Here is a 26,426-nt window from a genome sequence, read left to right as displayed (position 1 = left end):
ACACAATAGAGATAGAGGAGGGCTTACCTAGCAATGAGAATACCAAAGGCGCAGAGGCAGGAACATTTATTTTCTTTAGGGAACAATTGAGGGCTGGGTACGTTGGCTCACACCTGTAATCCCAGCACTTTGTGAGGCTGAGGCAGGTGGATCCCATGAGGCCAGGAGTTCCAGACCAGCCTGGCCAACATGGGGAAACCCCATCTCTACTAAAAATACAAAAATTAGCAGGCATGGTGGTGCACACCTGTAATCCCAGCCACTCAGGAGGCTGAGGCAGGAGAATTACTTGAACCTGGGAGGTAGAGGTTGCAGTGAGCTAAGATCGCACCACTGCACTCCAGCCTGAGTGACAGAGCAAGACTCTGTCTTGAAAAAAAAAAAAAAAAAAAAAGAACAATTGAGATGAGGTCATTGATGGGTTGGGAAGGTCCCAATATATGAGGTTCCAATATATGGAACCAATATATGAGGGCCTTGAATGCCAGATGAAAGGTGTCACCTTGCTCTTTTTGCTTATTCTACTGATGTCGAGCCCTGCCTATCACCAAAGAGCAGCTACTAAAAATGGTACAGATGTTAAGATTATTTAAGCAGAAAAGAAAGAGGGAAATAGAGTCAAAGAAAAAAAGCAAACTGAACACAAGACAAATTGGCTGCCCATCAGGTTTGTGCCGCTGTGGCTGCTCTGGTAAGAAAGTCAGTGCGATGTAGTATGTTCCTTTAGCACCTGTCCAAGGAGGAGATGTGACATTTCCAAGGAAGAAAACATTTTTTTTGTTTTCTGTTTTTTTATTTTATTTGTTTTTTTTTTTTTTATTTTTAGAGACAGGGTCTCACTCTCTCACCCAGGCTGGATTGCAGTGGTGCTAGCAGAGCTCACTGCAGCCTTGAACTCCTGGGCTCAAGCGATCCTCCCACCTCAGCCTCCTAAGTAGCTGGGACTATAGGCGCGTGCCACCATGCCCAACTAATTTCTAAATTTTTTGTAGAGACAGGGTCTTGCTAGGTTGCCCAGGCTGGTCTCAAACTCCTTGCCTCAACTCGGCCTCCCAAAGTGCTGGGATTACAGGTGTGAGCCTCCACGTCCTGCCCAGAAAACATTTTCTCTAGTAGAGGATTTAGAGAGAAGAGTGAGTGGGTTTCACTCAGCAATCAGAAGTGGAGAAGGATGGTGAACATGGGAGGAGGGAGTTAGATCAGAGGCCATTTGGAGCTGTCTCCTAGAATTTTGCCATCATTCATTCATCCATTCTTTTTCCCTCTCTCTCTCAATATATGTGTGTGTGTGTGTGGGTGTGTGTGTGTGTATGTGTAACTTCCCCCTCTAATTATTAAATAAATAAGCAAATAAATGAAGGTAATACATACTTTATTTCAGAAATGTTGGAAGATTCAGAAAATTAGAAAATTTCTTTTTATCACCCAAAATGTGCCCCCTAGAGGCAATCATAGTTAATGTTTTGGTGCGTTCTAATCTTTTCCCCCATGCATATGTAACTTTTTATATAGTTCAGATCATACCACACATGCAATTTATCTTACTCTTTTCCCATAATTTGCTACTGTAATTTTCTCATGCTATTGAAATGTTTTTGTAAATGTCAAGTTTTTAATAGCTGTGCATTATCTTATTAAATGGATATACTATCCTCTATTGTTAAAATTTAGGTTGTTTCAAATTGTCCCCATAAGTAACACTTAGTGAGTTTTTTTTTTTTTTTTTTGAGACAGGGTCTTGCTCTGTTGCCTAGGCTGGAGTGCAGTGGTGCAATCATGGTTCACTGCAACCTCCTCCTCCCAGGCTCAAGCTATTATCCCACTTCAGCCTCCCAAGTAGCTGGGGCCACAGGTGTGTGCCACCACACCCAGCTAATTTTTGTATTTTTTGTAGAGATGGGATTTTGCCATGTTGCCCAGGTTGGCTCTCGAATTCCTGGGCTCGAGCGATCCACCTGCCTCAGCCTCCCAAAGTGCTGGGATTATACCACGCCTGCCCTAGCATTCTTTTTTTTCTTTTTCTTTTTTTTTTTTTTGAGACAGAGTCTCAATCTTGTTGCTCAGGCTGGAGTGCAGTGGCGCGATCTTGGCTCACTACAGCCTCTGCCTCCCGGGTTCAAGCAATTCTGCCTCAGCCTCCCGAGTACCTGGGACTACAGGCACATGGTGCCATGCCTGGCTAATTTTTTGTATTTTTAGTACAGATGAGGTTTCACCATGTTGGCCAGGATGGTCTTGATCTCCTGACCTCGTGATCCACCTGCCTCGGCCTCCCAAAGTGCTGGGAGTACAGGCGTGAGCCACCATGCCCCGCCTGCACTAGCATTCTTGCACATACCTCTTGCACATATTTCTGAGTAGTTCCTTAGGGTAGATTCCTAGAAGAGAATCACTGGGTACAAACATTTAGGTTCTTGCCAAATTACCTTCCAAAAGAGTTATGTTACCATACATGCCCACTTCCCTGCACTCTTCCTAGCACTGGATTTCATTTTAAATTATTTTTGCTAATTAGGAAGGCAAACAATAGTATCTGATTGTTTTAATTACAGTGTATTCTGAGTTGTTGAGAAAAAATTCCCCACTCTGGGGAAGATAGCAACTGGCTGTTGTACTGAAGGACACCCTCCCTGCCCCAATCCTGGCTAAGGGGCCGAGGGTACCCATTGACCCTCAGTCCTGACTATCGTGGCCCGTGCCTGGGTGTGGGGGTGGTGGAGCACCCCTACCACCCAGTGCCCATAATTATGTGACATATCCCTGTGTTACTCCCTCCCCCAGGGGTTGACAATGGTGAAGACATCCCCCGAGACCTCCTGGTGGGCATCTACCAGCGCATCCAGGGGCGTGAACTGCGGACCAACGATGACCATGTGTCCCAGGTGCAGGCTGTGGAGCGCATGATTGTTGGAAAGAAACCAGTAAGTGCCTTGGGAGGCTGCAGAGGGGCCAGGGTTCAGGTCTGCCTCTGCCACTAAGTGGTAAGTCACTGCACCTCCCTGAGCCCCAGGTGCCCTTTACCTGCAATACAGAGTGGGTGATAATGCATTCCTCAGAAGGCTGTGGTGCAGAGTGAATGCATCGAGCACATTCCAAGGCCCATAGTGGGTACTATATAAATATTAGCATCCTTTTCACCTCCGGCTTTGCCTGTCCATCCTAAGTGAAGAGCCAAGCTAATGGTTAGCAGAAAACCAAAGTAAGAACACACTTTAGGCCAGGTACAATGGCTTGTGCCTGTAATCCCAGCACTTTGGGAGGCCGAGGTGGGTGGATCACCTCAGGTCAGGAGTTCCAGACCAGCCTGGCTATCATGGCAAAACCCTGTCTCTACTAAAAATACAAAAATTAGCTGCGGGCGTGATGGTGCATGCCTGGAGTTCCAGCTACTCAGGAGGCTGAGGCAGGAGAATTGCTTGAACCCGGGAGGCGGAGGTTGCAGTGAGCTGAGATCGTGCCAACGCACTCCAGCCTGGGGCCACAGAGCAAGACTCCGTCTCAAAAAAAGAAAAAAAAAAAGAAAACGCTTTAGCCAACAAACATTTGTGGATGCCTTTCCACTGAGCCCAGCATTTGCTGGGCACCAGAGTTGGTGCTGGGCATTCATAGATATGAATCAGACGTGTTCTCTATCCTTGGGGGCACTCACAGACCAGTCGGGGTGTGAAACAAAGACACATATAATACTTCTGCTTTATGGTCCAGTTTAGGAGAGGAGAAAGGAGAGAGAGACCATTTTCAGCCTGGAGAAATCAGGGAAGGCTTCTTGGAAGAGATCATTTTGGGATTGAATTTTTTTTTTTTTTTTTTTTTTTTTTTGACATGGAGTTTCACTCTGTCACTCAGGCTGGAGTGGAGTGGCATGATCTCGGCTCATTGCAACCTCTACCTCCTGGGTTCAAACGATTCTCCTGCCTCAGCCTCCTGAGTACCTGGGATTGCAGGCGCCCACCACCACACCCAGCTAATTTTTGTGTTTTTAGTAGAGACGGGGTTTCACCATGTTGGCCAGGCTGATCTCGAACTCCTGACCTCAAGTGATCCGCTCGCCTCGGCCTCCCAAAGTGCTGGGATTACAGGCGTGAGCCACTGCGCCCGGCCGGGATGGAAATTTGAAAGGGAGTTGAAATATGACCATGCAGAGCTGGGCAAGAAAGACATTCCAGACAGAAGGGCAAAGGCAAGGTAGCAGATAAGTTTAGGTCTTAGTTGCTGATACCCCTTGTGTCAGAGTGACACACATGTATGAGTGGTAAACTTCTTGCGGTTGAAAGTTAAGGTGCCAGGAGGCCTGAAGCTGATGGGCTGGCCTTGCTGACACCTGTTTCTTCATGCCTGTCTAGGTCCTGTCTCTCCCTCACCGTCGACTGGTTTGCTGCTGCCAGCTCTACGAGGTGCCAGATCCAAACCGCCCCCAGAGGCTAGGGTTGCATCAGCGGGAGGTCTTCCTCTTCAATGATCTCCTTGTGGTATGAGCACTGTGGGGGAGGAGATGGGAGGGAGAGAGTGAGCTTGACACCTAAGTCTGGTGTGAACCATATTGATGTAGGTGTGTGGTGTGTGGAGTGTGGCGGGCGAGGTGTTCTGCCATGCCATCTGCATGGTCTCAGGCAAGGCCCAGGCCTTCTCTGCCCCTCCTTTTCCTCACAGATGCATTTGGAGGTAGTAACAGACACACAGGGACAGAAAATATGAGGACCAAAGGAGATGACAGACTTACAACCTGGGAAGTGGTAGGAAATATCCCTGTCCACCTCAATAGCCCATAGGGTTGTGTGAAGAGGGGTGAACCTGCGACCCCCCAGGTCAGTCTGGAAATCTTCAGTAATCAAGATGCTTGAAGTGGGCTCGGCACTGTGGCTCACACCTATAGTCCCAGAACTTTGGGAGGCCAGGGCAGTTTGAATCACTTGAGCCCAGGAGTTTTGAGACCAGCTTGGGCAACATGTCGAAACCCTGTCTCCACAAAAAATACAAAAATTAGCCGGGCATGGTGGTGTGCACCTGTAGTCCCAGCTACTTGGGAGGCTGAGTCGGGAGGATCACTTGAGCCCAGGAGGCAGAGGTTGCAGTGTGCTGTGATCGCACCACTGCATTCCAACCTGGGCAACAGAGCCAGACCCTGCCTCAAAAATAAATAAATAAATAATAAAAACAAAATTTAAAAAAGATGCTTGGGCCAGGCACGGTGGCTCATGCCTGTAATCCCAGCACTTTGGGAGGCCGAGGTGGGTGGATCACCTGAGGTCAGGAGTTCAAGACCAGCCTGGCCAACATGGAGAAACCTCGTCTCTACTAAAAATATAAGAAATTAGCTGGGCGCAGTGGCGCATGCCTGTAGTCCCAGCTACTGGGGAGGCCAAGGCAGGAGAATCGCTTGAACCCAGGAGGCGGAGGTTGCAGTGAGCTGAGATCGCTCCATTGCACTCCAGCCTGGGCGACAAGTGAAACTCTGTCTCAAAAAAAAAAAAAAAAAAAGATGCTTGAAGTGATTCTTCAAACTGAGCTCATTACAAGTAGAGATGTTTGTCTTTTAGGGATGGGACTCTTAGGACTTTGCAGGTTGGAAGGGACTTTCAGGGTCCAGCTTCCTAGATGGCCCACTGGATGTATGACTGCAGGGACAGAAAGCCGCCTTCCTCTAAGGCAGCCAGTTGCCTTGTTAGGCAGCTCTGACTGCTAGAATTTGTCTCCCTGTGGGTTTCTTCCAGCCATCTGCACTCAACCCTTGGCATCACAAAGAACAAGTGTTGTACCTCTGCTCCAAGACAGCTCTCCAGGGATTTGAGGACTCTCTTGATCCTGTTCTCCCTGTGGTCTTCTCTCCTTTAGAGCAGGGTTTCTCAGTCTCATCACTGTTGACATTTGGGGCTGGATAATTCTTTGCGGGGACTGTCCTGTGCACTGTAGGATGTTTAGCAGCACCCTGGTCTCTACCTACTAGGTGCTAGTAGCAACCCTTCAACCAAAAATGTCTCCAGATGTTGCTCCGTGTCCTCTGGGGGCAATATCACCCCCAGTTGAGCATTGCTGCTTTAGCCGAAGTATTTCCATGCTCCCTCTGAGCCTTAGTTTCCTCCTCTGTGAAATGGAACTAACCCCTACTTCACAGGATTGTCATGAGGATGAAATGAAATAAGAGGTTATATGTGGAATCTGCCCTACCCCAGGGAGTACCTGGCCCACACAGTCAATGTGTAGACATCCCTCAGGTACTGAAACTGGTGTATGTCCAGCTCTATGCTAGGCACTGGGTATGCCAGGATGAATCAGACTTAGTCCCTGTTCTCAGGGAGCTCACAGCCCAAAGGACCTAAAAAAGTGCTTTGCGTCATTGTGCCATCCTGAAATCAAAACATTTCCTTTTACGAGCCACTTGCAGACCGCCTGAGGTGTTTGCAGCCTGTGTTAGTTGAGTCCAGAGTGCCCAAGTACTCGACAAAGATATTGGGTTGTTGAGAGGAAGACTTATTAACTCTCTACATGGGTTCAGCAGAGATTGCCATTAAGTGCAGGCTCTGGTAAGGCCTGGTGACAGAACCCGACAACCAGACTCCTGCCCTCCAGTCCAGCAGGGGGCGATCACACACTCAGAGGACTAGCATAGTGCCTGACAAGGGAAAGGCACTGAATCACCATTCTGGAGCTCAGAAAAGGGGTTTACAAATCTCTGTGGGATGTTGGAGCAGGCTTCCTGGAGGAAGCAGGATTCAGTTAGTTTCTGGAAATGTGGTAAATGTCTGTGGTGCGTGGTCATTACATCAGGAACTTGCGTTTTCTTCCATGTCTCCCATTCTGTCCCTCAAGCTTCCATTCTCCCCAGCTTGTGGGCATGTGTGTTTGTGTGTGTGTGTCTGTTAATGGGGTGGGAGGGGAGGGTGGTTACCAGAAATAGGTGCCACGTGGAAATCCCCCACCCAAAGCGCTGCCTCTTGTCTTTTTCCCACCCCTGCCAAAGGTCACCAAAATTTTCCAGAAGAAGAAGATCTTGGTGACGTACAGTTTCCGTCAGTCTTTCCCCCTCGTGGAAATGCACATGCAGCTCTTCCAGAATTCATGTGAGTCCCTTCTTGGATCCCAGCTCCTGAGAGTCTATGTCATGGCCCCCATGCTCACCCGTCATCTATACCAGCTCCAGTTTTCGGAGTCCCTTACAACCGGACTAAGGGTCTCCAAAGCACCTACTTGGTCCCAGGATGAGGGGCAGGCCAGGGTGGAGTATGACTTGGGTCTAGCCCCTGGTTAGCTCATGGTCTTGCAGAGAACCACAGTGCATGTGTTCTCTGGTGGGCCAAAGAGACGGTGATCATGCTGTGCTCTGAAGGATGAACCAGGAGGAGCTTTGTTGCGTGGTATTCCTGGCAGCAGAAGCAATGTGAGTTGAGGCAGAGGTGAGAAGGAAAGGGTTTCGAGAGAGCAGTGCATAGTTGTGTGCCTTTACATCCTGCAGTACAGGGAGTAAGAGGGCCACAGCTACCAGGAGTTTGAGGGCTTTGGGGCAAAGGGGAGCTGCTAAACATGCTCAAGCAGAGAAGAGGCATGATCAGAGTTAGACAGTAGAAAAATTATTTCATGGGCTAGGCATGGTGGCTCACACCTGTAATCCCAGCACTTTGGGAGGCCAAGGCAAGAGGATCGCTTGAGCCCAGGAATTCGAAACCAGCCTGGGCAACATAGTGAGACCCCATCTCTACTGAAAATAAAAAAAAATCTGCGCATGTGGTGCGTGCCCATGGTCCCAGCTACCCAGGAGGCTGAGGCAGAAGGATCACTTGAGCCCAGGAGTTCAAGGCTGCAGTGAGCCATGATGGCACCACTGCACTCCAGCCTGGGTGACAGAGAGATGTTGTCTCAGAAAAAAAAGAGCAGAAAAGAAAAATTATTTTATGTATGAGCCACCTTGCACCAGTCCCAACAGAGGTGCCCAGTCTCCCCTTTCTCCACAGATTACCAGTTTGGGATCAAGTTGCTGTCTGCAGTACCTGGTGGGGAGCGAAAAGTCCTCATCATCTTCAATGCCCCCAGCCTCCAGGACCGGCTGCGCTTTACATCCGACCTGCGCGAGTCCATTGCGGAGGTGCAGGAGATGGAGAAATACCGTGTGGAGTGTGAGTAGCCCAGCCATGTCTCCTCCCTGCTCTCCTGAAACAGTACCCTGCAGAAACCAAGAATCCTATCCTCAGAGAATCTCAGAGTTGAGGGTTAGCTTGTCCAACCTTCCCATCCTCATTTCAAGAATTCTTCAGCCTCTGCTTGAATACCTTCAGTGACAAGGGGCTCATTACCTCCCAACCCCATTATTATCCTGAACTCTAATTATGAGCCAACTATTCCTTCTAGTGAAAGGTATCAGGGAGAAGAATCAGAGTATTGGAGGTAGGACTATAGTTTTAGATCCCAGGTATACTACTCATTATCTGGGTGAACTGCAGCAAATTGCCTAACCTGCCAAGCCCCAGTTTCTTCCTATACGAAATTGGGGTAATGAAGTCTCCTTCACAGAGTCATGGAGATGAAATGAGACAAGGTAGCCGAAATGTCCCAACACATCTTAGGCATTCAAAAAATCCGTATTTCCTGTCCCACCCTCTCTCCTCCTCTGCCCACATATCAATTCCTGAGCTGAATCCCAGTGGGCTATCCTCTCAGCCCCCAGGGGCCACACCAAGTCATTTTGATCATATATATATAATGGAAAATAGTGATTACATCTCATTCCTCCCGATGCCCTCCAAGTTTTCTCTTCTCCAGGCTAAGCAGTCACAGTTAAGTAACATGGTGTTAAGGAGAAAGAGGCAGGCAGACAGAGACGAGGCGGCGGACAGCTCCTTGGTGAGGCCTTCACAGCTCCAGGGCCACTCTACTTCTCAGCGAGGCAGGGATAGAAATTTCAGTTCACCAGATCCTTTGAGACCCTGGGGAAATCCTGAGAGAGGGATTAGTAGCCCAAGACGAGGGGAGGCCAGTAGACACGTGTTTCTATGAGCTCCGTGGGGAGGTGGGGCTGTAGGAGGCCGGAAGCACCCAAGCTCTGGAATCAGGCAGACCTGCTTCCAGAATGTCGGCTCTGCCATTTCCAGCTGTATGACCCTGGGCAAGCTCTAAGACTTCTCGGATACTCAGTTTCTTCCTCTGCACAATGTGGATGCTAATACTGACCTCAGAACTGTTGTGAGGACTGAGAGAGATCAAGTATGTGTAGCGCCCAGCATACTGCCTGGCACATAATAAGAGGATTTGATTCCTGTCAGTTTCCTGCTCCTGCCCTTCCAGGAGCCCCTCTGCTCCGGAGCAAGGTATCTGAGAACTGACTGAACTCTGGAAAGATTGCCCTTTGCCATAGGCTAGAAGGGCCTTACCATCCTTACTGTGAACCATCTGCCATGAAGCTCTTTTTTGAAGGGCAGGGGTGCTTTGGGAGACCTGATTGCAAGAGGGCATGGGAGGGGAGAAGTCAGAAGGGTGAAAGGAAGGGAAAGGGAACAGGGAGAGCAGGCACCAAGAGGGATGAAGGGAAGGCTGAGCAGGAAGGGAGGGTGCAAGACAGGAGCTGGGCACTAAGGGTGCTTCGGTGATGGAGCTGCAGTTTTGGGGGAGACAAGGGCTGGTCGTCCAAGGGGCAAAACACGAAGCCTGGGGACAGAGGGAGGGAGGAGGGAGGAGGAAGGAGAATGGCCCATGGAGGGCTAGGGTCAGTCAGATGGGCTCTCACTCCTGTTCCTGACCTTTGCTCCCTGTCTCCCCGACTGCCACCCAGCGGAGCTGGAGAAGCAGAAAGGTATGATGCGGCCTAACGCCTCACAGCCTGGAGGGGCCAAGGACTCAGTGAATGGGACGATGGCCCGCAGTAGCCTGGAGGACACTTACGGGGCAGGCGATGGGCTCAAACGGGGCGCACTCAGCAGTTCCCTGCGAGACCTCTCTGATGCAGGTAAGCCCTCTGGGCCCCTGCCCTGGCTGGGGAGACACGGGACCGGGTGTCCTCTTTGCCTCCTGTCACTGGCCGCCAGCCTTCCCTCCACCTGCCACACATGCACGCACCCTGCCTTCACCCAGAGCCCTGGGCGCTGCGCCACAGGGGGCCTGGGAGCCAGGTCAGAGCAGGGGGAGCCCAGCTTTTGGGCCAGGGAGTGTGAAGTGGGGCCACAGTCTTGGTCCCTCTCTCTCGCTGCTCCCCCTCTCCTCCTCTTCTCCCTCTTCTGTCTCTCCTGTACCTCCACTCCTCCTTCTCCATCTTTTCCTCCTCTTTCTCCTCCTTCTCCACCTCTCCTCCTCCCCGCCTCCCCCTCTTCAATGGGGGAAAGGGATAATGGGGTGTCTGTCCCCGGGAGGGGCCCAGTCCTGGTGCCCAGCTCTGGAGCCCAGCAGGGTAGGGGGGGGGTTGCTGCTCTGACGCTGGGCTCCTTGCTTGTGGGTGCAGGGAAGCGGGGGCGGCGTAACAGCGTGGGATCGCTGGACAGCACCATCGAAGTAAGTGCCAGCTCCTGCCCCACTCGTCCTCTGCATGAGCCCTGCCCCGGCCATGGAGACCCAGAGGAGGAGGGGACCTGTTGCTCCCCCTCTTCCCTGCTGGGAACCATGCGGCTGCCTCTCCCAGCCAACCACTCTCTCCATCTGTCCTCAACTCTGTCTGTCCTCATTCTGCCTGTCTCTCAGTCTGTCTTCCACTCTCCCGTGCCCCCTCTCAACCCCAGGGCCGACGGCGAGTAGGGATGCCCTTGGAGTTGGGCCACGAGAAGCTCTTACCTCCAAGTCCTGCTCTTTGACCCTGGGCGAGTCACTCTGCCTCTCTGGGCCTAACCTTTTCCCTGCCTGCAAAATGGGGATGAGGAGGAGGTACTGCTAATTTCTCCTCTCCCAGCTGAGGCTCAGCTGAGATAGTGGATGTGACAGCCGAGCTTTGCAAGCTGGGGAGCTCCACATACGCGTACCGGACTGTGATTTGGTTTTTATTACAACTTGGGGTTTGCTGTCTCCCCAGCTCCAGCCCTCAGGGACAGGGGTGGAATTTAGGGCTGGGGGTTTAGGGCATCTAGCCTGGCCTGACTTCCCCCCTCCCCGCTTCCAGGGGTCTGTTATTAGCAGTCCACGCCCTCACCAGAGGATGCCACCTCCGCCCCCACCCCCGCCGCCAGAGGAGTACAAGAGCCAGAGGCCCGTCTCCAACTCCTCATCCTTCCTGGGCTCCCTATTTGGAAGCAAGCGGGGCAAGGGGCCCTTCCAGATGCCACCACCGCCAACAGGCCAGGCCTCTGCCTCCTCTTCATCTGCTTCTTCCACGCACCACCACCACCACCACCACCATCATGGCCATAGCCACGGTGGCCTGGGGGTGCTGCCTGATGGGCAGTCCAAGCTCCAGGCCCTGCATGCCCAGTATTGCCAAGGACCGGGCCCTGCCCCGCCACCCTACCTCCCACCCCAGCAGCCCTCTCTTCCCCCACCTCCCCAGCAGCCCCCACCCTTGCCCCAGCTGGGCTCCATTCCACCGCCTCCCGCCTCAGCCCCACCTGTGGGGCCACATCGCCACTTCCACGCCCATGGCCCAGTCCCAGGGCCCCAACACTATACCTTGGGCCGGCCAGGCAGGGCACCCAGACGGGGGGCTGGAGGACACCCTCAGTTTGCTCCACATGGCCGCCACCCCCTGCACCAGCCCACATCCCCACTGCCCCTGTACAGTCCTGCCCCCCAGCACCCTCCAGCCCACAAACAGGGCCCTAAGCACTTCATCTTCAGCCACCACCCACAGATGATGCCAGCAGCAGGCGCGGCTGGGGGCCCTGGATCCCGGCCACCAGGGGGCTCCTACTCCCACCCCCACCACCCCCAGTCACCATTGTCACCACACTCACCCATCCCACCCCACCCCTCCTATCCACCCCTCCCCCCACCCTCCCCTCACACCCCGCACTCACCCCTTCCACCCACCTCCCCCCATGGCCCGCTGCACGCCTCTGGGCCCCCTGGCACAGCCAACCCCCCCAGTGCAAACCCCAAGGCCAAGCCAAGCCGGATCAGCACCGTGGTCTGATGAATGGAGAGAGTGAGCTGGGGAACAGGAAAGTCTGGGGAGCCACAGGAGAGGGACCTTGCACCCTCTTTGCTTCCTCGGTTTTTTCAAAAATATATATACACATAGCAATGTCCTCCTCCCCATGTCCTCCCTGCCTTGGGACCCGTCCTCTCACCCCCAGCAGTTGCCATGGGGTTTCCTTCCAGATTCGAGGATCCTTGCCACTTGAAGCCTGGACTCAGGGTGCTCCAGCGCTGGGGAGTGGTGAGGGCCTTCCAGAGATCCTCGTACTCTTTCTCCCGTCTTCTTCTTCCCCACTTTTCCCTGGAGGTCTAGCTCTGTGGCCTCAGACCTCTGGGCCTGTGTGAGCTCTCTGTGAGCTCTGGCTGGCGGAGAAGGGCAGGTGTCCGGAGCTGTCGGGGTGAAGGCTTCCCTGGGGCTCCTCTGGCCGTGTGGGGCTAGGAGAGCGCTCTGTAGAGTTGTGGCCAAACTTCAGCTGGCTTGGCCCTCTCTCTGACCTCAGGGCCTGGCCACACACTTCCATGTGTCTTTTTGCCTGCTGGAGGACACGGACCATTGATGCACTTGGTGGGTGGGACCCTGCTTGTGTTGGCCCCACGTGGGGCAGTGCTTCCTCTCTCGAGCCAGTCTATGCCCTTTCTCCAGTAGGCCCCAGCCCAGACCTCTTCGGCTTCAGGAACTTGCCTCGCCCTGCAACGTTCTTATCCTGATCAAAGTCCAGACAGGTTTTGGGGGGGGCTCAGGTCTGGGATGAGAAGGGCACTGCCCTCCCTCACCCATATTGCATGCCCCCCCGCCATTCCCTTACACCTACCCCACCTACAACTGAAGACAATGCACTTTACAGATATCACCCACACACACCTCGCTGGGGCAGGGGCACCCAGCATCAGCCCTGGGGAGAGAGGCTCCCAAAGGGCCACCATGAGCCCAAGATATCCTTCCTGAGGCAGAGATTGAAGCCATCAGAGCTGGGGTTGGGAGCCAGAATGCCTGAGTCCTTCTGTCCGTCAGAATCTCCGCTGCCTCTCCAGCCCTTTTGCAGCCCTGTTTATTTATTATAAATATATTTTTTACAAGCCCCAGCTCCTCTTCTTGCCCCGCATATCCAGCTCCTCACTCAGCTCCTGCCTCCCTCTCCCCTCTCCACCATGGGCTGCAGTATAGACAGACAGATGGACCCTGGCTGTACGAAGGGCCAGGGCCACTGGGGCTTGGGGGCGGGGGAGGGTGGCAGTGGGAGGGGCTGTATGGAGAGGAGCTGGGGTTCAGGCATTGTCTTTTTTCCTCCTTGTATATAAGAATGTATATTTGATGCCTCATAAAAGACCTTGTGCTCACCTCCTGCCTCTGCCTCCTACTTCTGCGCCCCTTCCCCACTGTGGAGCCCATGGAGAGAGGCCTTAGCCCAGGGAGGCAATGCGCTAATGGTAGAAATTCAGGCACCTGGGTGGACGAGATGCTTTGCTTGGAGGGAGGTGGGAGTGAGGGAGGTTTTCCTATCTCATTTCATACACAGTTTGTGCGACAGAGTGGCAAGAGTATGGGCTTTGGAGTTGATCCAGTTCACATCCTGGGGTTTTCACTTCCTAGGCATGTGAATTCGGGAGAGTCACCCTCTCTGAGTCTCAGTTTCCTCAGTGTAAAACTTGGGGTGATAAGCCATTGCCACATGGAGATATGATGATTCCCAGGGGTAATGGGTGCCAAGGAGCCAGGACAGAGCTGAGCAAGTTAGTTCCCTTGTCTTCGTTTCATAGGATGAATGCTTCCTTCCACTCTTGGGGCATCTCCTCTCACCCTGGATGTGGCTGGCCTGGCCTGGCCTTGGAGCTCCTCCTCATCCCCACAATGGCTGGCCACATTTCTATCCTTGAGGGTAGGGGAGTGATTTGGAAGGCACAGGGCTAGATACATTTTAAGAGTTCTGCATATACACTTAGGATGTCAGATAACAAAGAGCTGGACTCCCTTTCGTTTACAGAGAAGGGGACAGGCTGAGAGAAGGGAAGAGTCTCTCCCGAGGCCACTCAGCAAGTCAGGATGGGGTTTCCTGACTTCTAGCCCCAGGGCCCTTTCCAGTCCTCCCAAACCTCTTCCCTCCGAAACGGACGTGTTTCTAGCATCACTGATTATGTCCTGGATCTTAGCCTAGCGCAGGAGAAGTGGGGTTGAGCCATGGTTCTTGGTTAGAGTCAGCAGGGTCCCCAGAAGCAGCATTCAGTTACTGTTTTTGCTGCCTTCCTAGAATCTGGAATGGCCTCTAAAAGGGAATGGTTTGGATGGCCCCGCTCTTAGCAGCTCAGACCAATTCTTTGTTTTCTTCCTTGTATGCATGTTTAAAGGTGTCCCAGGGAAGACAACTAGCAAAAGCAGCAGCTGGGGCCACCTACGCATTTGATGCCGCCTCATGGACCAGACTTGAGGGTTTGAAGAGCTTAGACCCACAGGGTCCTGAATCAAGTCCAATCAACATTTTTTAGTTTTCTTCCCTGCTGGACCAAGCTGCACGATCATTTCCCCACCTTCAACTTGATTCTGGTTGCATTTTTCCAAAGCTCAGCTTTTAGCGCTCAAATCCTGGCTCGGTGACTTGCCTGTGCTGCATTTGGCAAGTCACCTAGCCCTTCAGAGCCTGGCCTTCCACCTGTAAGATGGGGATAACAACCTTGCAGGACAGTTAACAGATGCATGTGAAGTGCCTACCTCATGCCAGACACACAGTAAGCCACCTACAGAAACCCCTTATCTTGACATGGGAGGTGTTCCACAAGGTGGCCCAGCCAATCTCTGTGGTCCTAACTCTCATTCCTCACCCACACATTGGCCATCCACTTACTATTCCCCAAAAATGCCTCTGTGTACTTTCCAAACTCAGCATTTTACTTGTGGCTTTCCCCCCTGCCACAATACTCCCCCCAACATCCCTGATGAAGGTTTTCCCAACCCTTGCAAGATGGGCTTGAAGAACCCATCCTTCACAAAATGTGCCCTTCATCACATACTCTGAGATCCTTCCCCACCAGGCCTTAAGTGGCTTGGGAGTGACACTGGTCTGAATCATCTCCATCCAGAACATTGCCCCATATAGTGCCTGGCACAGCACAGATGGCACTAAAATTTTGTTGATCAAATGAATGAATGAATGAATGGTTCTAAGTCTCAGAGTTAGATATCTTTGCATTGGTTGATTTATTGATTGATGCAACCTGTGTACCAAGTTTCCGGGCCCCTCTGGGAGCTCCTCATGCTTCCTTCAACTGTTTCCTACGTTCTTCTCCTCCAGTCCTCATTGCAGTCCCAGCGCTGGGCTGTCCATGCTCCTCACTCCCTCCACCCCTCCAGAAATGCACTGTCCAGACTGTGGAGGGGGTAGTTCATCTCCTCACCTCCCCATTTCTCTGAGGACCCAAAGACAGCAAGCCCACTGACTATTCTTACATCAAAGGTGCTGCTGCCAATCCCTCTGGGGATGCAGATGGGGACAGACAACACATAACAAAGAACAGAACTGCTTGAACCCGAGAGGCGGAGGTTGCAGTGAGCTGAGCGAGCTCGCGCCACTGCACTCCAGCCTGGGTGACAGAGCAAGACTCTGTCTCAAAAACAAACAAACAAACAAAAACAAAGGACAAAGGTCCTAGCATCTCAGAGTTCTTATGTTTGTTCTCTAGTGCTGTCCAATAGGTCTGTCTGTGATAAGCAAAATGTCCCATACCTGTGCTGTTCAGTACGGTAACCACTAGCCACATGTGGCTACTGAGCACTCGAAACATGGCTAGTGCAACTAAGGAACTGCACTTTTCATTTTATTCAATGTAAATGTAAATAAATAAGCACATGTGGGTAAGTAGCTGCCACGTCAGACAGTGTAGGATAAGAGTTTCAGGAGTGGACAGAGCCTGGTGGGGATAATGTGAAGATGATAAAATAAGTGCAGGCCCAGAAGGAAGCCCTGGGTATGTGGGAACACAGAGGAGGGGAAAACCCAACTTGGGGTGTGTGGGTGGGGTCAGGCACCATTTTCTGGAGCCGCTCCTTTTAGTGGAGTAGTCTTGAAGGGCGAGTAGGACTTAGCCTGATAGAGAAGGGAGGGAGGGAGCAGCGCATGAAAAGGCCTGGAGATGCGAGAGAATGCAATGTGTTAGTGGCACCGTAAGAAAGGAATGGGAGCTGGAGCTCCAGCGGTGGGCACAGCACATGGCACCGCGTGGAGACAGGCGGGTCTCCCCAGCCACTCCCTGTTACTCTGTTGCCAACAGATTTGTCACGCTGGCCTCAGCAGCAGCTAAAGTAAGACCAGATAACAAATTGGGCTATCTAGTACCTGCACTGTAAAGTTACCACTTTCCCCGTTGTAGTGGATGAGTATCTTGTGGAGACATGAATGGAAATGTTGTTACTCCTTAAATTTTACTCACTAGTTTTAGCGTTCGCTGGAACAATTATTATGGCTGAGGCTGTCAAATGGTGATTTTCAAATGCCGTCATTCTTTCAATATGTCTTTTTTTTTTCTTTTTTGAGACAGGGTCTCATCCATTGCCCAGTGCAGTGGTGCGATCATAGCTCACTGCAGCTTCGAACTCCTGGATTCAAGCGATCCTCCCACCTCAGCCTTCCATGTAGCTGGGACCACAGCCACACACCACCATGCCCAGCTAATTTAAAAATTTTTTGTAGAGATGGAGGTCTTGCTAGGTTACCCAGGCTGGTTTCAAACTCCTGGCCTCAAGCAGTCCTCCCACCTCAGCCTCCCAAAGTGTTGGGACTATAGGCATGAGCCACTGCCCCCAGCCTGGGCATGTCTTAGTTGGCTTTCCACTATAAGGGAGGGCTTTCCCTTCTACATTTATTTATTTATATCCTTATGGACTTAATGATTGTTTATTTTACTCAATGGGTTATATATAACCCATTAACATCATTCTTTATTTTGATGTTCACAGCCCCAGATTTGGCCAGTAGGAAGCCCTCTAAGCCCCTGTGTCCTGTGGCACATCTCCATCTTTTTCTGAGCCCTTCCAAGGAGCCCCGGTTCTTTTTAGTAGAGAATGACATTTAGAAACCAAGATTTGGGCACTAGGTGTTACAGCAATATTTTAAGAGCTTGCTCTTTTATTTTGCAAAGGTTTGAGCATCCATTGATGATTTCTAGCTCCATCATTCCTTCTATATAATTTAGAATTCTACTTTCCCTTTTCTCTCACTTTATTTACTTATATCAATGTGGAGTCATGGATTTTTATTTTAACCAGTGAGTTGTAATCCACTACTATCATAATTCATTTTGAATTAACATTACTTTGGATAAATCATTTTATTGTTATGTATATGTATAAGCACATACTATACATCTATATTTCTATACTAGACATCGATATTTCTCTGTCTCTGTCTAATAAACCATGAGTTCACACAGATACCTTGAGGAGGCTCTTTTAAGAGTCCAGGCTAGAGACAGTAAAAGGCTCACAGGAGGAGTGGAAGATGGCAAGGAGGAGGGGATGGATTCTAGAGCTATTTAGGAATCAGAACCAACAGCTTAAACCTACTTCAGAACTGGAAGAGATCATATTTTACAAACCAAAAAAAGTGAGACACAAAGTCAGTGTCAGCCCAGTTGATCCACAAAACATGAATGGGGTGCGTGTGGTTTTGAGCCCAGACGAGCCTTCCAGTCACTGCTCTGCACCAACTCCATGTCAGACCCTGTCTCCCGGGTGGATGGGTGAGGCCAAGCCAGCCCCCAGCCTGGAGTGAGTTTCCTGATGCATCCCAATTCTTAAGTCCCCAGCGTCTAGACTCCGGTTGTCCCCCAGCAAGACCCATGGCTTGGGGAACAAACCCATTTCCTGAATGCCTTACTACATGGGGAGCACCATCTGAGACTCTTACAGGCAGAATTGTACGGCAGTCAGACAGACCTGGGTTTGAGTTCTGGTCCTGCCACTTACTAGCCATGTGACTTGAGTAAGTTTACACTTCCCTGAGCTTCAGTTTCCTCATCTGTAGGATGGGGATAACAATACCTACTTCATAGCACCTGGCCCTTGATGAATGGCAGTCATCATTATCTCTAATCCTCCTAACAACACTGTGAGGAAGGGATTATTTAGCTTCATTATACAAAGGAGAAAATCAAGGCTCAGGAAGATGAGGTACTTGGCAGATCTCAGTGGGTGCATGTCAGCTCCAGGAAAGTAGAGACTACATCTGTCTTGGTCACCATTATATTCCCAGTGCCCAGAAAATTTGCTGGTGCATAGTAGAAATTTAATAAATATTTGTAAACGAATAAATTCTATCTCATTGGCTTCAAAGACTACATAATTTCTATTTAATCTTCTAGGACGGGTGTGTCTGGGCTAAAGGACCTCAAAGAAGGCTGTAGGAAGACTGTGCAGAGCTGAGACCCAAAATCTGGCCTCCTGATTCCTGATTCATGCTCTTTGTACTTCCTTGAGCCTCTAGATGGAAAGGCTGAACTTCCTTCGGCCTAAGATCTACCGTATTCTCCCACCTTCTAGATTCTCCTCACCCTTCTCTGGCCAGGCCTCTGCCTCCTTTTCATCTGTTTCTTCCACGCACCACCACCACTACCACCATCACGGTCACAGCCACGGTGGCCTGGGGGTGCTGCCCGATGGGCAGTCCAAGCTCCAGGCCCTGCATGCCCCATATTGCCAAGGACTGGGCCCTGCCCCACCACTCTACCTCCCACCCCAGCAGCTCCCTTTTCCCTCACCTCCTCCACTCCTGGTGAGGGCAAACGACAGGAAGAGCATTTGACCAGAGTCAGCAACTTCCTGTGTATCATTGGGCAAGTTGTTTAATCTTTCTGGAACTTGGTTCCTCATCTACAGACTGGGTAAATTCACCTACATCTTTCTGAAGACTGTTGCAAAGATTAAGGGAAATAATTGGTATGAACTAGCCATGTAGGCAATTAGATGCTTATCCATGTGAGAGGCTAGTGATATTACTGTGATTAGCATCACTTTGCCTAGTTTTCCTGCTTCCTGTCCAGACAGCTGTTCAGTTGGATCATCCACCTGTGTTTCTGGTGGAGAGGGGCTGAGGTTTCCCCTGACACCTAGAAAACTAGAAAGATGTCACTTAATATCTGTGTCACTTGGGACAAGTCTCCACACGAGCCAAGTGGGGATAAAGATCTTGAACATTCAAGGTAATATAAGGATTCAGGTGATAAAAAAAAAAATACAAAAGCACTAGCACAGTGTCTGACACAAAGGAGATTCTTAATGAGTTTTGGCATATTGGTTGTTGACTCTCAGAAATAAAAATAACAGCTACCAGATACTGAGGGCCTGCTATGTGCCAAGTACACAACAATTCTGCAAGGTATGTATTATCCCCATTTCAGTTACAGAAGTTGGGACTTGTTCAAGGTTACAAACTAGAAAATGGCAGAGCTGGTGGGACTGCAAGGCATGACTCTTTTGAGCCCAGGGCATGAGCTCCTTCCTACCTGTGTGCCCTGTTCCCTCAGCCAGGATGTCCTTAGCTCAGTCCTGAAGTAGGCAGGATGGACCTAATTGGCACAGTATCTGATTAGGAACAGTTAACTGCACGAAGGTATGACACTCCCTATCTGCCTCGAGCTTACAGTGGATGTTTAATATGTTAAACAGGAAATGTTTGCAAAAAGTATTCATATTTTTCAGTCAATATATACTAAGGACATTTATTCATTTTTCTTTTGTTTACTCAACATTCATTTACTGCTTAACATGCCAAGTGCTAAGGATGTATAAGGCCACATGGTCCCTGCCCTTAAGGAATTCATAGTCTGATGGGGGAAAACAAAATTACTTAATCAGCATGTACGCAAGTACTCAAATATTTGCACAGTAGGTGTTCAAACTATATGCAGTAGGTCCACAGCTGATGAATGACACAGATGATCCTCCAATCAGTAGATGCCTGATGTATATGTACAAAGTACTGGTTTGATGATACTCATTCAAAGTACTGTAGTTGCAATGAACCTATTCAGAAACTGCTCAAGGAACATGCACACGATAGGACTAAATGTACATACAGTTGGTACCAAATGCACAGGGGCTATACACAATAAATACAATAAAAGTACACGGATGTTTGGTAAGTGCACTGTAGGCTCACAAATGGGCAAACAGGTGTTTTACACAGTTGACACTGGATAAATACGCCGTTGCTAAACATCCAATAGTTAAAGTATACATACACACAGGCTTATTTTGTAGGAGTATATGCCACAAATGTGTACATGGTAAAAGTGAATACAGAACAGTTGAAAGCGTTCATTAAAATGCTGACTCCCAGTGACTTTTGGGGGGTAAGAATCGAAACCCCATCTCTCTACCTGTAACCTTGGATGAAATAAAGATTTCCTTCCTTTACTTGGGACTCAGAATCCTAAAAATCCATAATCCCCGGGGAGTGAGCAGCTTCCTGCCTTCCTTATTTCAAAGCCCCAGAGGTGTCAGTGTCTAGAGCTGGAGCCTAGTACATCTCCCCCCATCCCGCGGGCCAGCATAAGGGGTCCTTTGCAATCAGGCTCCCAGAGCCGCCTTCCGCGGCCCATACCGTTAAGACCAGGGAGAAGGGACAGAGAACACTGGTGCGGGGCTAGCGACCTGGTTGAGGTCTGCGGGGGAGTGCCGGTTTGACTCCACCACCCACGGACACCAGCTCCTCTTCCGGTCTCCATAACGCGCATGCGCATCACTGGCCTTTAAACGTGCACCGCCGGTCCATCCGGAAAGACGATCCGGCAAACTAATTACAATCTTGTTCCTCCGCCGTTGCAATGAACTATTTTCTCTCAGTCCGGGGTGGTACTTTTGAGTAACCCCTTCCAAATAGAAACCCATACCAGCCTATTTAGCTCGGTCTCCACTATATGAAGGTTTCCTAGGGCTTGGTGTGACGCAACGTATACGAGGCTCGGAAGGACACCCCGCGGAAGGATCCGGTTTGTTGTGGTGTGGGGAGGGGAGACGCTGACAAACCAAGATGGCGGCGGCGGCGCTGAAGGCCGCGGCGTTTGGGAGGTAACTGTGGTGGCGAAGGCTGCGGTAGTGGGGAGGCAACCACACAGTTTGGAAGAAACGGAGCGGGACGAAGAGGCGGTAGCAGTAGAGTCAGCCTGAGACTCTCAGAGCACGACGGCCACACGCCCCCTTAGGCCCTCGGCGGGCGGCGGCTGCCCCGCTTAGGGCCTAGCCTCCGAGCATTGCCTCGGCTTCAAACAGCGGCGGCGCCATGAGTCCTTAAGGGCGGTCCAAGCCTCCCGATCCCTGGCCCAGACCTCGGGCCCACCATGGAGCCGGGGTCCGACGATTTCCTACCGCCACCGGAGTGCCCGGTGTTCGAGCCTAGCTGGGCCGAGTTCCGAGACCCTCTTGGCTACATCGCGAAAATCAGGCCCATCGCAGAGAAATCGGGCATTTGCAAGATCCGCCCACCCGCGGTAAGCCCCGGGGCCGGTTTTCGCCGGCGGCGAGACGGAATGAAGCAGTAGGATAGCCAGCGGCGAAGTCTGGGGCGGAGGGCAGCTCGAGGTGGGGAGAGGGGGTGGCTGGGACCGTTGTGGTTGCGGCGCGGATCGGAAAAAGGGTGTTGGGCCAGGGGTCCTCTCGTGGTGTGAGGCCCACAGGTGACCTGGAGTCAGAGATCCACCCCCACCCCGGCCCTTCAGAATCACTCCGGGTTTAAGACAGGGATTCCTAGTGGGCCGGAGGGAGTTCACAGAGAGGCACCCCGCACATCTCTTAGCCCGGGCCACCTAGGTCGAGGCTGTAAAAATAAGACGTTTCTCCAATCTGTTGTCATCACTTCCTTTAAGGCAGGCAGCATAGTATAGTATTAATAGAAAGATCGCAGTCCTGAAGGGAGACAGACTTGAGTTCAAAACTCCACTTTGAAGCTGAGCAGCTGTGTGACCTTGGGAAAGTAGAAGTAATCTCTCTGAGCCCGTGAAATGGATCCCAGAAATGGTTATTTAGAGGATTGAATTAAACTAGGTAGCGTCTGTATGTAGTACGCACTAGATAAGTGGTAATTATTGTGACTGTGAGGGTGTTTGATGTGGTCATTGGTTTATTCCTATGTAGGTTGACTCATATTTACTCATACCTTGCCAGGCCAATTCATCTATGATAATATCCTGGCCTGCTGGACCAGTCAGGAAATCAGTCTCACAGGGATTGCTCTGTCTCCCTTGAGGTGGGTTCAGGGAATTGTCCTCTTCTTTTCCTCGTTGAAGGCAATGTCAAGGCCTTTTCTGCACATCATCCCGCAGACTTGACTTCCTATGGAGATGTTTGGACCGGTCAGCTTGGTGGTGGGGTGTGAGTCCTTCTCAGAAGATTTCTACTCTCCTCTGGTCCAGGATGTAGGAGATCCCAGAGGATAGGGCACTCTTGGGCCCGCAGAACAGAATGGAGCCATGGAATTCTGTCCCTTTTGGAACATGATTGCCAGGGGTCAGCAACAAAGGCCATAGCTTTCCTCCTAGGCCTGGCTTCAGGCTAGAAGTCTCCCAAGGGCTAGGGCAAGCTGCTGCCTTGCTGATATGGTGGAAAAGTGATGATAATGTTCAGTGATCAGTTGGGATTCCAAGGGCAGAAATTGAGCTTTGCTGGAAAAGGGTGTTTTTGAGTGGGTGTCTCCTGGCTGAAATGGAATAGGAAGCTTCATTCCCACCTGAGGAGGGCACCACAGGCCTCCTTATCCAACTTGGTGCTTTCTGGTGCTCAGCCACAGATCTAGGATGGTTTCAGATAGATCCTCTAGGAGGTGTTGGGTAAGCGAATTTCTTCCTTCTTGGAGTCTGGCCACAGATTTCTGAGGTATCCTTGTCCATGGTGAGGGAGTGGCAGTGGGTAGAGGGTCAGGAAGGCTAGTGGAAGGGAGAGGCAGGAGTCCTGGGCAGCCTCAAGGAGGCACTCCCTGAAGTGGTTGGGCAAGCCTGTGGGAAAAAGAGGCATAGCTGACGTAGGGGGTAGTTGAGGCCTGAATTCCTTTTTTCTATCTTGGACTGACTTAGGCAGGCTGGCCTTGTGTAGGTGTTGTTACCCTGCTTTGGGGCATCAGGAAGGGGAAGAGTGACATGTCCCAGGTGTGCATGGCCAGCAGGAGGCCGTCCTTTTCACTGCTCAACAGTGTGCTTCTCTCTAATCCAGGATACCTGGCTCTCTGGTTTGGTTTTGTTTTTTCCTTCTCTATGGCAGCTCCTAGGCCACCTTTAGGCAGCTGGCCTTCTTCTGGTTGAAGTTTGAAGTACTCGCTCAAGTGATGCTTGGGCCCAGGGTGGGAACCTGTATATGGGTGGGTACCTGGGAATTGGAGGTTTGCTGGAGGAAGGATGGTTTGGGGCCTGAATTGCTGGGCAGGTGACTGCTACGCTTGGGAAAGATGGGTGGGAGGAGAGTGTGGGTACCCTGAGTAGACCCAGTGGAGTTTGGAAGGATCTTGCTTTCTTCATCAGGTAGCCAGCCTTTTTTTTATCACCACATCCCAGTAATACCAACATACATTTGGCATACAGTAGTCTGGAGATGAAGGCAGGCGGTTTGCAGGGCCTTCCCAGGTATCTGTTGCATCCATGGCTCCTGCCGTAGCATTCCAGGGCTGCCATTTCCTGTCAGGTGCTTGATGTTGCACTGATTGTCTAGAACTTGATTCAGCAGGAAAGAAGGGTGCCCGGAGTTTTGGGTTTGAGCACCTTTTTAGCTGGGTTACCTGTGCTGAGGGGAGTGCCCTATCCTGATGAGAGGCAAGAGGGCATGGGGAGCTTGTCTGGATTTGAGCCATACCATTTTGGCCTGCCTGTTTTTTTTTTTTTTTGTCCCTGCTTACTGAGCCCCAGATGTTTGCCACCTGCTTTGGCTGGTAGGGGCAGGGGAGTGTGGTCTGTGTATGCATGCAAAATATGAGTCCTCTAGCCCATTTTCTAAAAGTGTGTGTGCAGAAGAGGTCAACAGTTTTTCTTCTCTTTCACTGTCTCTCCCCCCCGCCCACGTGTATGCATGTATGTATGAACATTGATGTCTGGTGTAGTGCAAAGGCCTTGGATCAGAGGTCAGAAGACGTGGGTTCTTGGCCCCACCACTAACTCAGCATGTAATTTTGGAAATTTCACTTTTTTTCTCTGAGCCTCACTTTCCCCATTTATAAAATGAGAACATTGGTTTAGGTTACTTTAGGTTGATTTCACCACCCCAGCAGGAGCCAGGGCTCTGGGAAGGAGAGGTCTGCATAGGAGGTTGGAAAGGGGTGTTGGAGAGGGGGTTCTTCACAGCTGACCTTTGGGCAGGACACAGCAAGCTCCAACTTGGCAGAGCAGAGTGTCTCCCACTTTCATGATCTTTCCCTGACTTCCCTCCCCAAATCCTCCCATTCTTTGCCACCACAGTCAGGCATCCCAGCACTTACCCCCACCCCCTGGGGCTTCCTCCCCTGCCTCTTCCTGTACCAGGCAGGTGTATGAGAGAGGATCTACAGGAAGCCTTCCAGACTGGGTGAGTGATACACATACTTGCTCCCTGTTCCTTGCTCTTCCCTGCAGTGTCTATCTCAGGCCCTTTAAACTGAGAGAACAAACATTAAAGGCCCAAACCTTTACGTCCTGCCACAATCGGACCTGAGCTACCCTGCATGTGTATTGTGAGGTGTGGTCAGCCTTAGATGTCAGGTCATAACGGTGACTCCTTTGAATAACATTTTCATTTGAAAACTAGTTTTAATTTTCCATATTGGTCTGGCAAGGAAGCCAGGGCTAGAGTTCATATTCCCACCTCACAGATGAGAAAACAGGTTCAGAAAGCTAAAATCTCATAGCTAGTAAGTAGCGGATCTAGAACATGAACCCATATCTTCTGACTCTAGATCCTGTGTGCTTTCCAGTACTCCCAGGCCTGTGTGTCCTACAGCACGTGCCTAGGGGATAAGGAATTAATGTGGGTGTGGAGAAGGTTTAGGGTCAACAAAACAGAGGCTCCATCTCTTAATTTCTTGAAATCCTGGCACTGTACTGTTGGGTGGGACTCAGGAGAAGTTTCCTAGGGCATGTGCATGGGGCCTTGGGTGCAGACTTGAGGGGCTGCTAGACTCTTGTGAGTTCTGGGGGGAGGTGGGGGTGGGTGGTTGGGTAGGATGTTTGCAGGTTAAAGGGTCTGGAGTGGCTAGAGGTTTGGGAAGGTGCCAGTGGGATTCCGAGCTGCTTTTGGTGACTTCCGGTCTTACACTATGCTGAGATAACTCAAGTCCCTTTCCCCTCTCTACCCTCTCAGGACTGGCAGCCACCCTTTGCTGTGGAAGTGGACAACTTCAGGTTTACCCCCCGAATCCAGAGGCTGAATGAGCTAGAGGTGAGAAGACTAGGAGCTGGTGGTGGGGTTGGGAGAATGTATACCTGAGTTCTAATCCCACTTCCCTTATAGTTTCTCTGGCTGAGGTACTTTACCTAGCTAGGCCTTTATTCTCTCTTCTGTGAAATTGCATTACTTTAGTGTGCCCAGGGCGTGGAAGAAGCTTTAGAGCTCTAAATATAACCAAGAGCCAGGGGCATTTAGCATTTGTGATTTGATAGCCCAAAGGCTGGGGACATATATCCCTTTCTCACAAAGGTTTGCTACTTCTGAAACTCCCCTGTAAACTAGCCTACCCTAGCTGAGTCAACAAAAAGGAATTATGGAACTGGCTGATACCCCTTCTTCCTTGGCCAGCTGAATGTGGCTTCATATATCCAATTCATCCACAGCCCTGTGCTTTCTACTTTGCTTCCATGGGTGCTTGGTAAGGTGGGAGTTTGGGTAGATGGGCAGAACAACACAAGAACTGGGCTCTGTGGAGGCTGGAATGGTTAGAGACTTGGCCAGGGGTCAGGCAGGTAGGATTTTCCTTCTCCCTTTTGTTCTGTACAGGAAGTCCAGGCCCTTTTCATGGACAGGTGGGGTTTTTCCTGCTTGAGAATGCCCTGGGGTAGTGAGATTAGGTTCCCTAAAGCCAGTTCCACGTAAGATCCTGGAGTTTTCCATGGCAGCTCTAGGTTAGGCATATGTTGCCACTCCCTCCCCCATTATTATGTACCCACAAATCTTAATAGATGTCCAAGGGGTGGGGCATTAGGCCCAGGCCCAGCTGAATACTTATACCCTAAAAGTTCACTTGTGTTCTAGACCAGAGTTCCTCAGCCTCGGCACTATTAACATTTTGGGAAGCTAAGGTGGGAGGATTGCTTGAGCTCAGGAGTTCAAGACCAGTTTGGGCAACATAGCAAGACCCCATCTCAGAAAAGAAAAATATATCTTGTCAGGTTTATAGGGGTACAGCTTGGGCAAGATGTTGCCTAGCATGACACAAGGGCAGGTTTTCTGTAGA

General features: G+C 50.8%; 2 protein-coding genes across 31 annotated transcripts in view, besides 5 other annotated features; both read left to right on the top strand.

Annotated features, from left to right (window-relative positions):
- IQSEC2 (IQ motif and Sec7 domain ArfGEF 2) overlaps window positions 1-20,440 on the top strand; it is a 95,538-nt gene extending 75,098 nt beyond the window's left edge. For 5 of the 20 annotated variants that reach the window (NM_001111125.3, XM_006724579.4, XM_011530773.3 and 2 more), the window contains 7 exons: window positions 2,782-2,921; window positions 4,344-4,469; window positions 6,959-7,058; window positions 7,947-8,108; window positions 9,758-9,931; window positions 10,421-10,470; window positions 11,069-13,377. In NM_001111125.3, coding sequence (NP_001104595.1) covers window positions 2,782-2,921; window positions 4,344-4,469; window positions 6,959-7,058; window positions 7,947-8,108; window positions 9,758-9,931; window positions 10,421-10,470; window positions 11,069-12,034 — 1,718 coding nt within the window. In that variant the 3' untranslated portion in view covers window positions 12,035-13,377. The other 15 variants (NM_001410736.1, XM_006724584.4, NM_001441094.1 and 12 more) reach the window with 9 other exon arrangements.
- Window positions 20,652-20,946: an enhancer, noted in NCBI's record as "tiled region #5919; HepG2 Activating non-DNase unmatched - State 1:Tss, and K562 Activating DNase unmatched - State 1:Tss". NCBI's record gives its function as "activates a minimal TATA promoter and a strong SV40 promoter by Sharpr-MPRA in HepG2 and K562 cells {active_cell/tissue: HepG2 | K562}" and the evidence as "EXISTENCE:reporter gene assay evidence [ECO:0000049][PMID:27701403]".
- Window positions 20,652-21,164: a biological region, named in NCBI's record as "Sharpr-MPRA regulatory region 5919".
- Window positions 20,725-20,774: an enhancer, noted in NCBI's record as "active region_29658". NCBI's record gives its function as "activates an Ori minimal core promoter by ATAC-STARR-seq in GM12878 lymphoblastoid cells {active_cell/tissue: GM12878}" and the evidence as "EXISTENCE:reporter gene assay evidence [ECO:0000049][PMID:35858748]".
- Window positions 20,785-21,164: an enhancer, noted in NCBI's record as "active region_29657". NCBI's record gives its function as "activates an Ori minimal core promoter by ATAC-STARR-seq in GM12878 lymphoblastoid cells {active_cell/tissue: GM12878}" and the evidence as "EXISTENCE:reporter gene assay evidence [ECO:0000049][PMID:35858748]".
- KDM5C (lysine demethylase 5C) overlaps window positions 21,046-26,426 on the top strand; it is a 48,931-nt gene continuing 43,550 nt past the window's right edge. For 10 of the 11 annotated variants that reach the window (NR_148674.2, NR_148673.2, NR_148672.2 and 7 more), the window contains exons 1-2: window positions 21,046-21,513; window positions 25,337-25,414. Coding sequence is in view for 8 of the 11 variants with exons in the window: in NM_001353982.2 (NP_001340911.1) it covers window positions 21,364-21,513; window positions 25,337-25,414 (228 nt within the window). In the remaining 3 variants the exon portion in view is untranslated. The remainder of the gene's footprint in view (window positions 21,514-25,336; window positions 25,415-26,426) is intronic. The other variant, NM_001146702.2, reaches the window with a different exon arrangement.
- Window positions 21,405-21,504: an enhancer, noted in NCBI's record as "active region_29656". NCBI's record gives its function as "activates an Ori minimal core promoter by ATAC-STARR-seq in GM12878 lymphoblastoid cells {active_cell/tissue: GM12878}" and the evidence as "EXISTENCE:reporter gene assay evidence [ECO:0000049][PMID:35858748]".

The sequence above is a fragment of the Homo sapiens genome, chromosome X (genome assembly GCF_000001405.40).
Source record: "Homo sapiens chromosome X, GRCh38.p14 Primary Assembly".
Classification (NCBI taxonomy): domain Eukaryota; kingdom Metazoa; phylum Chordata; class Mammalia; order Primates; family Hominidae; genus Homo; species Homo sapiens.
The sequence above is the reverse complement of the archived record's forward strand: the minus strand, read 5'-3'. Positions and strand labels throughout refer to the sequence as shown.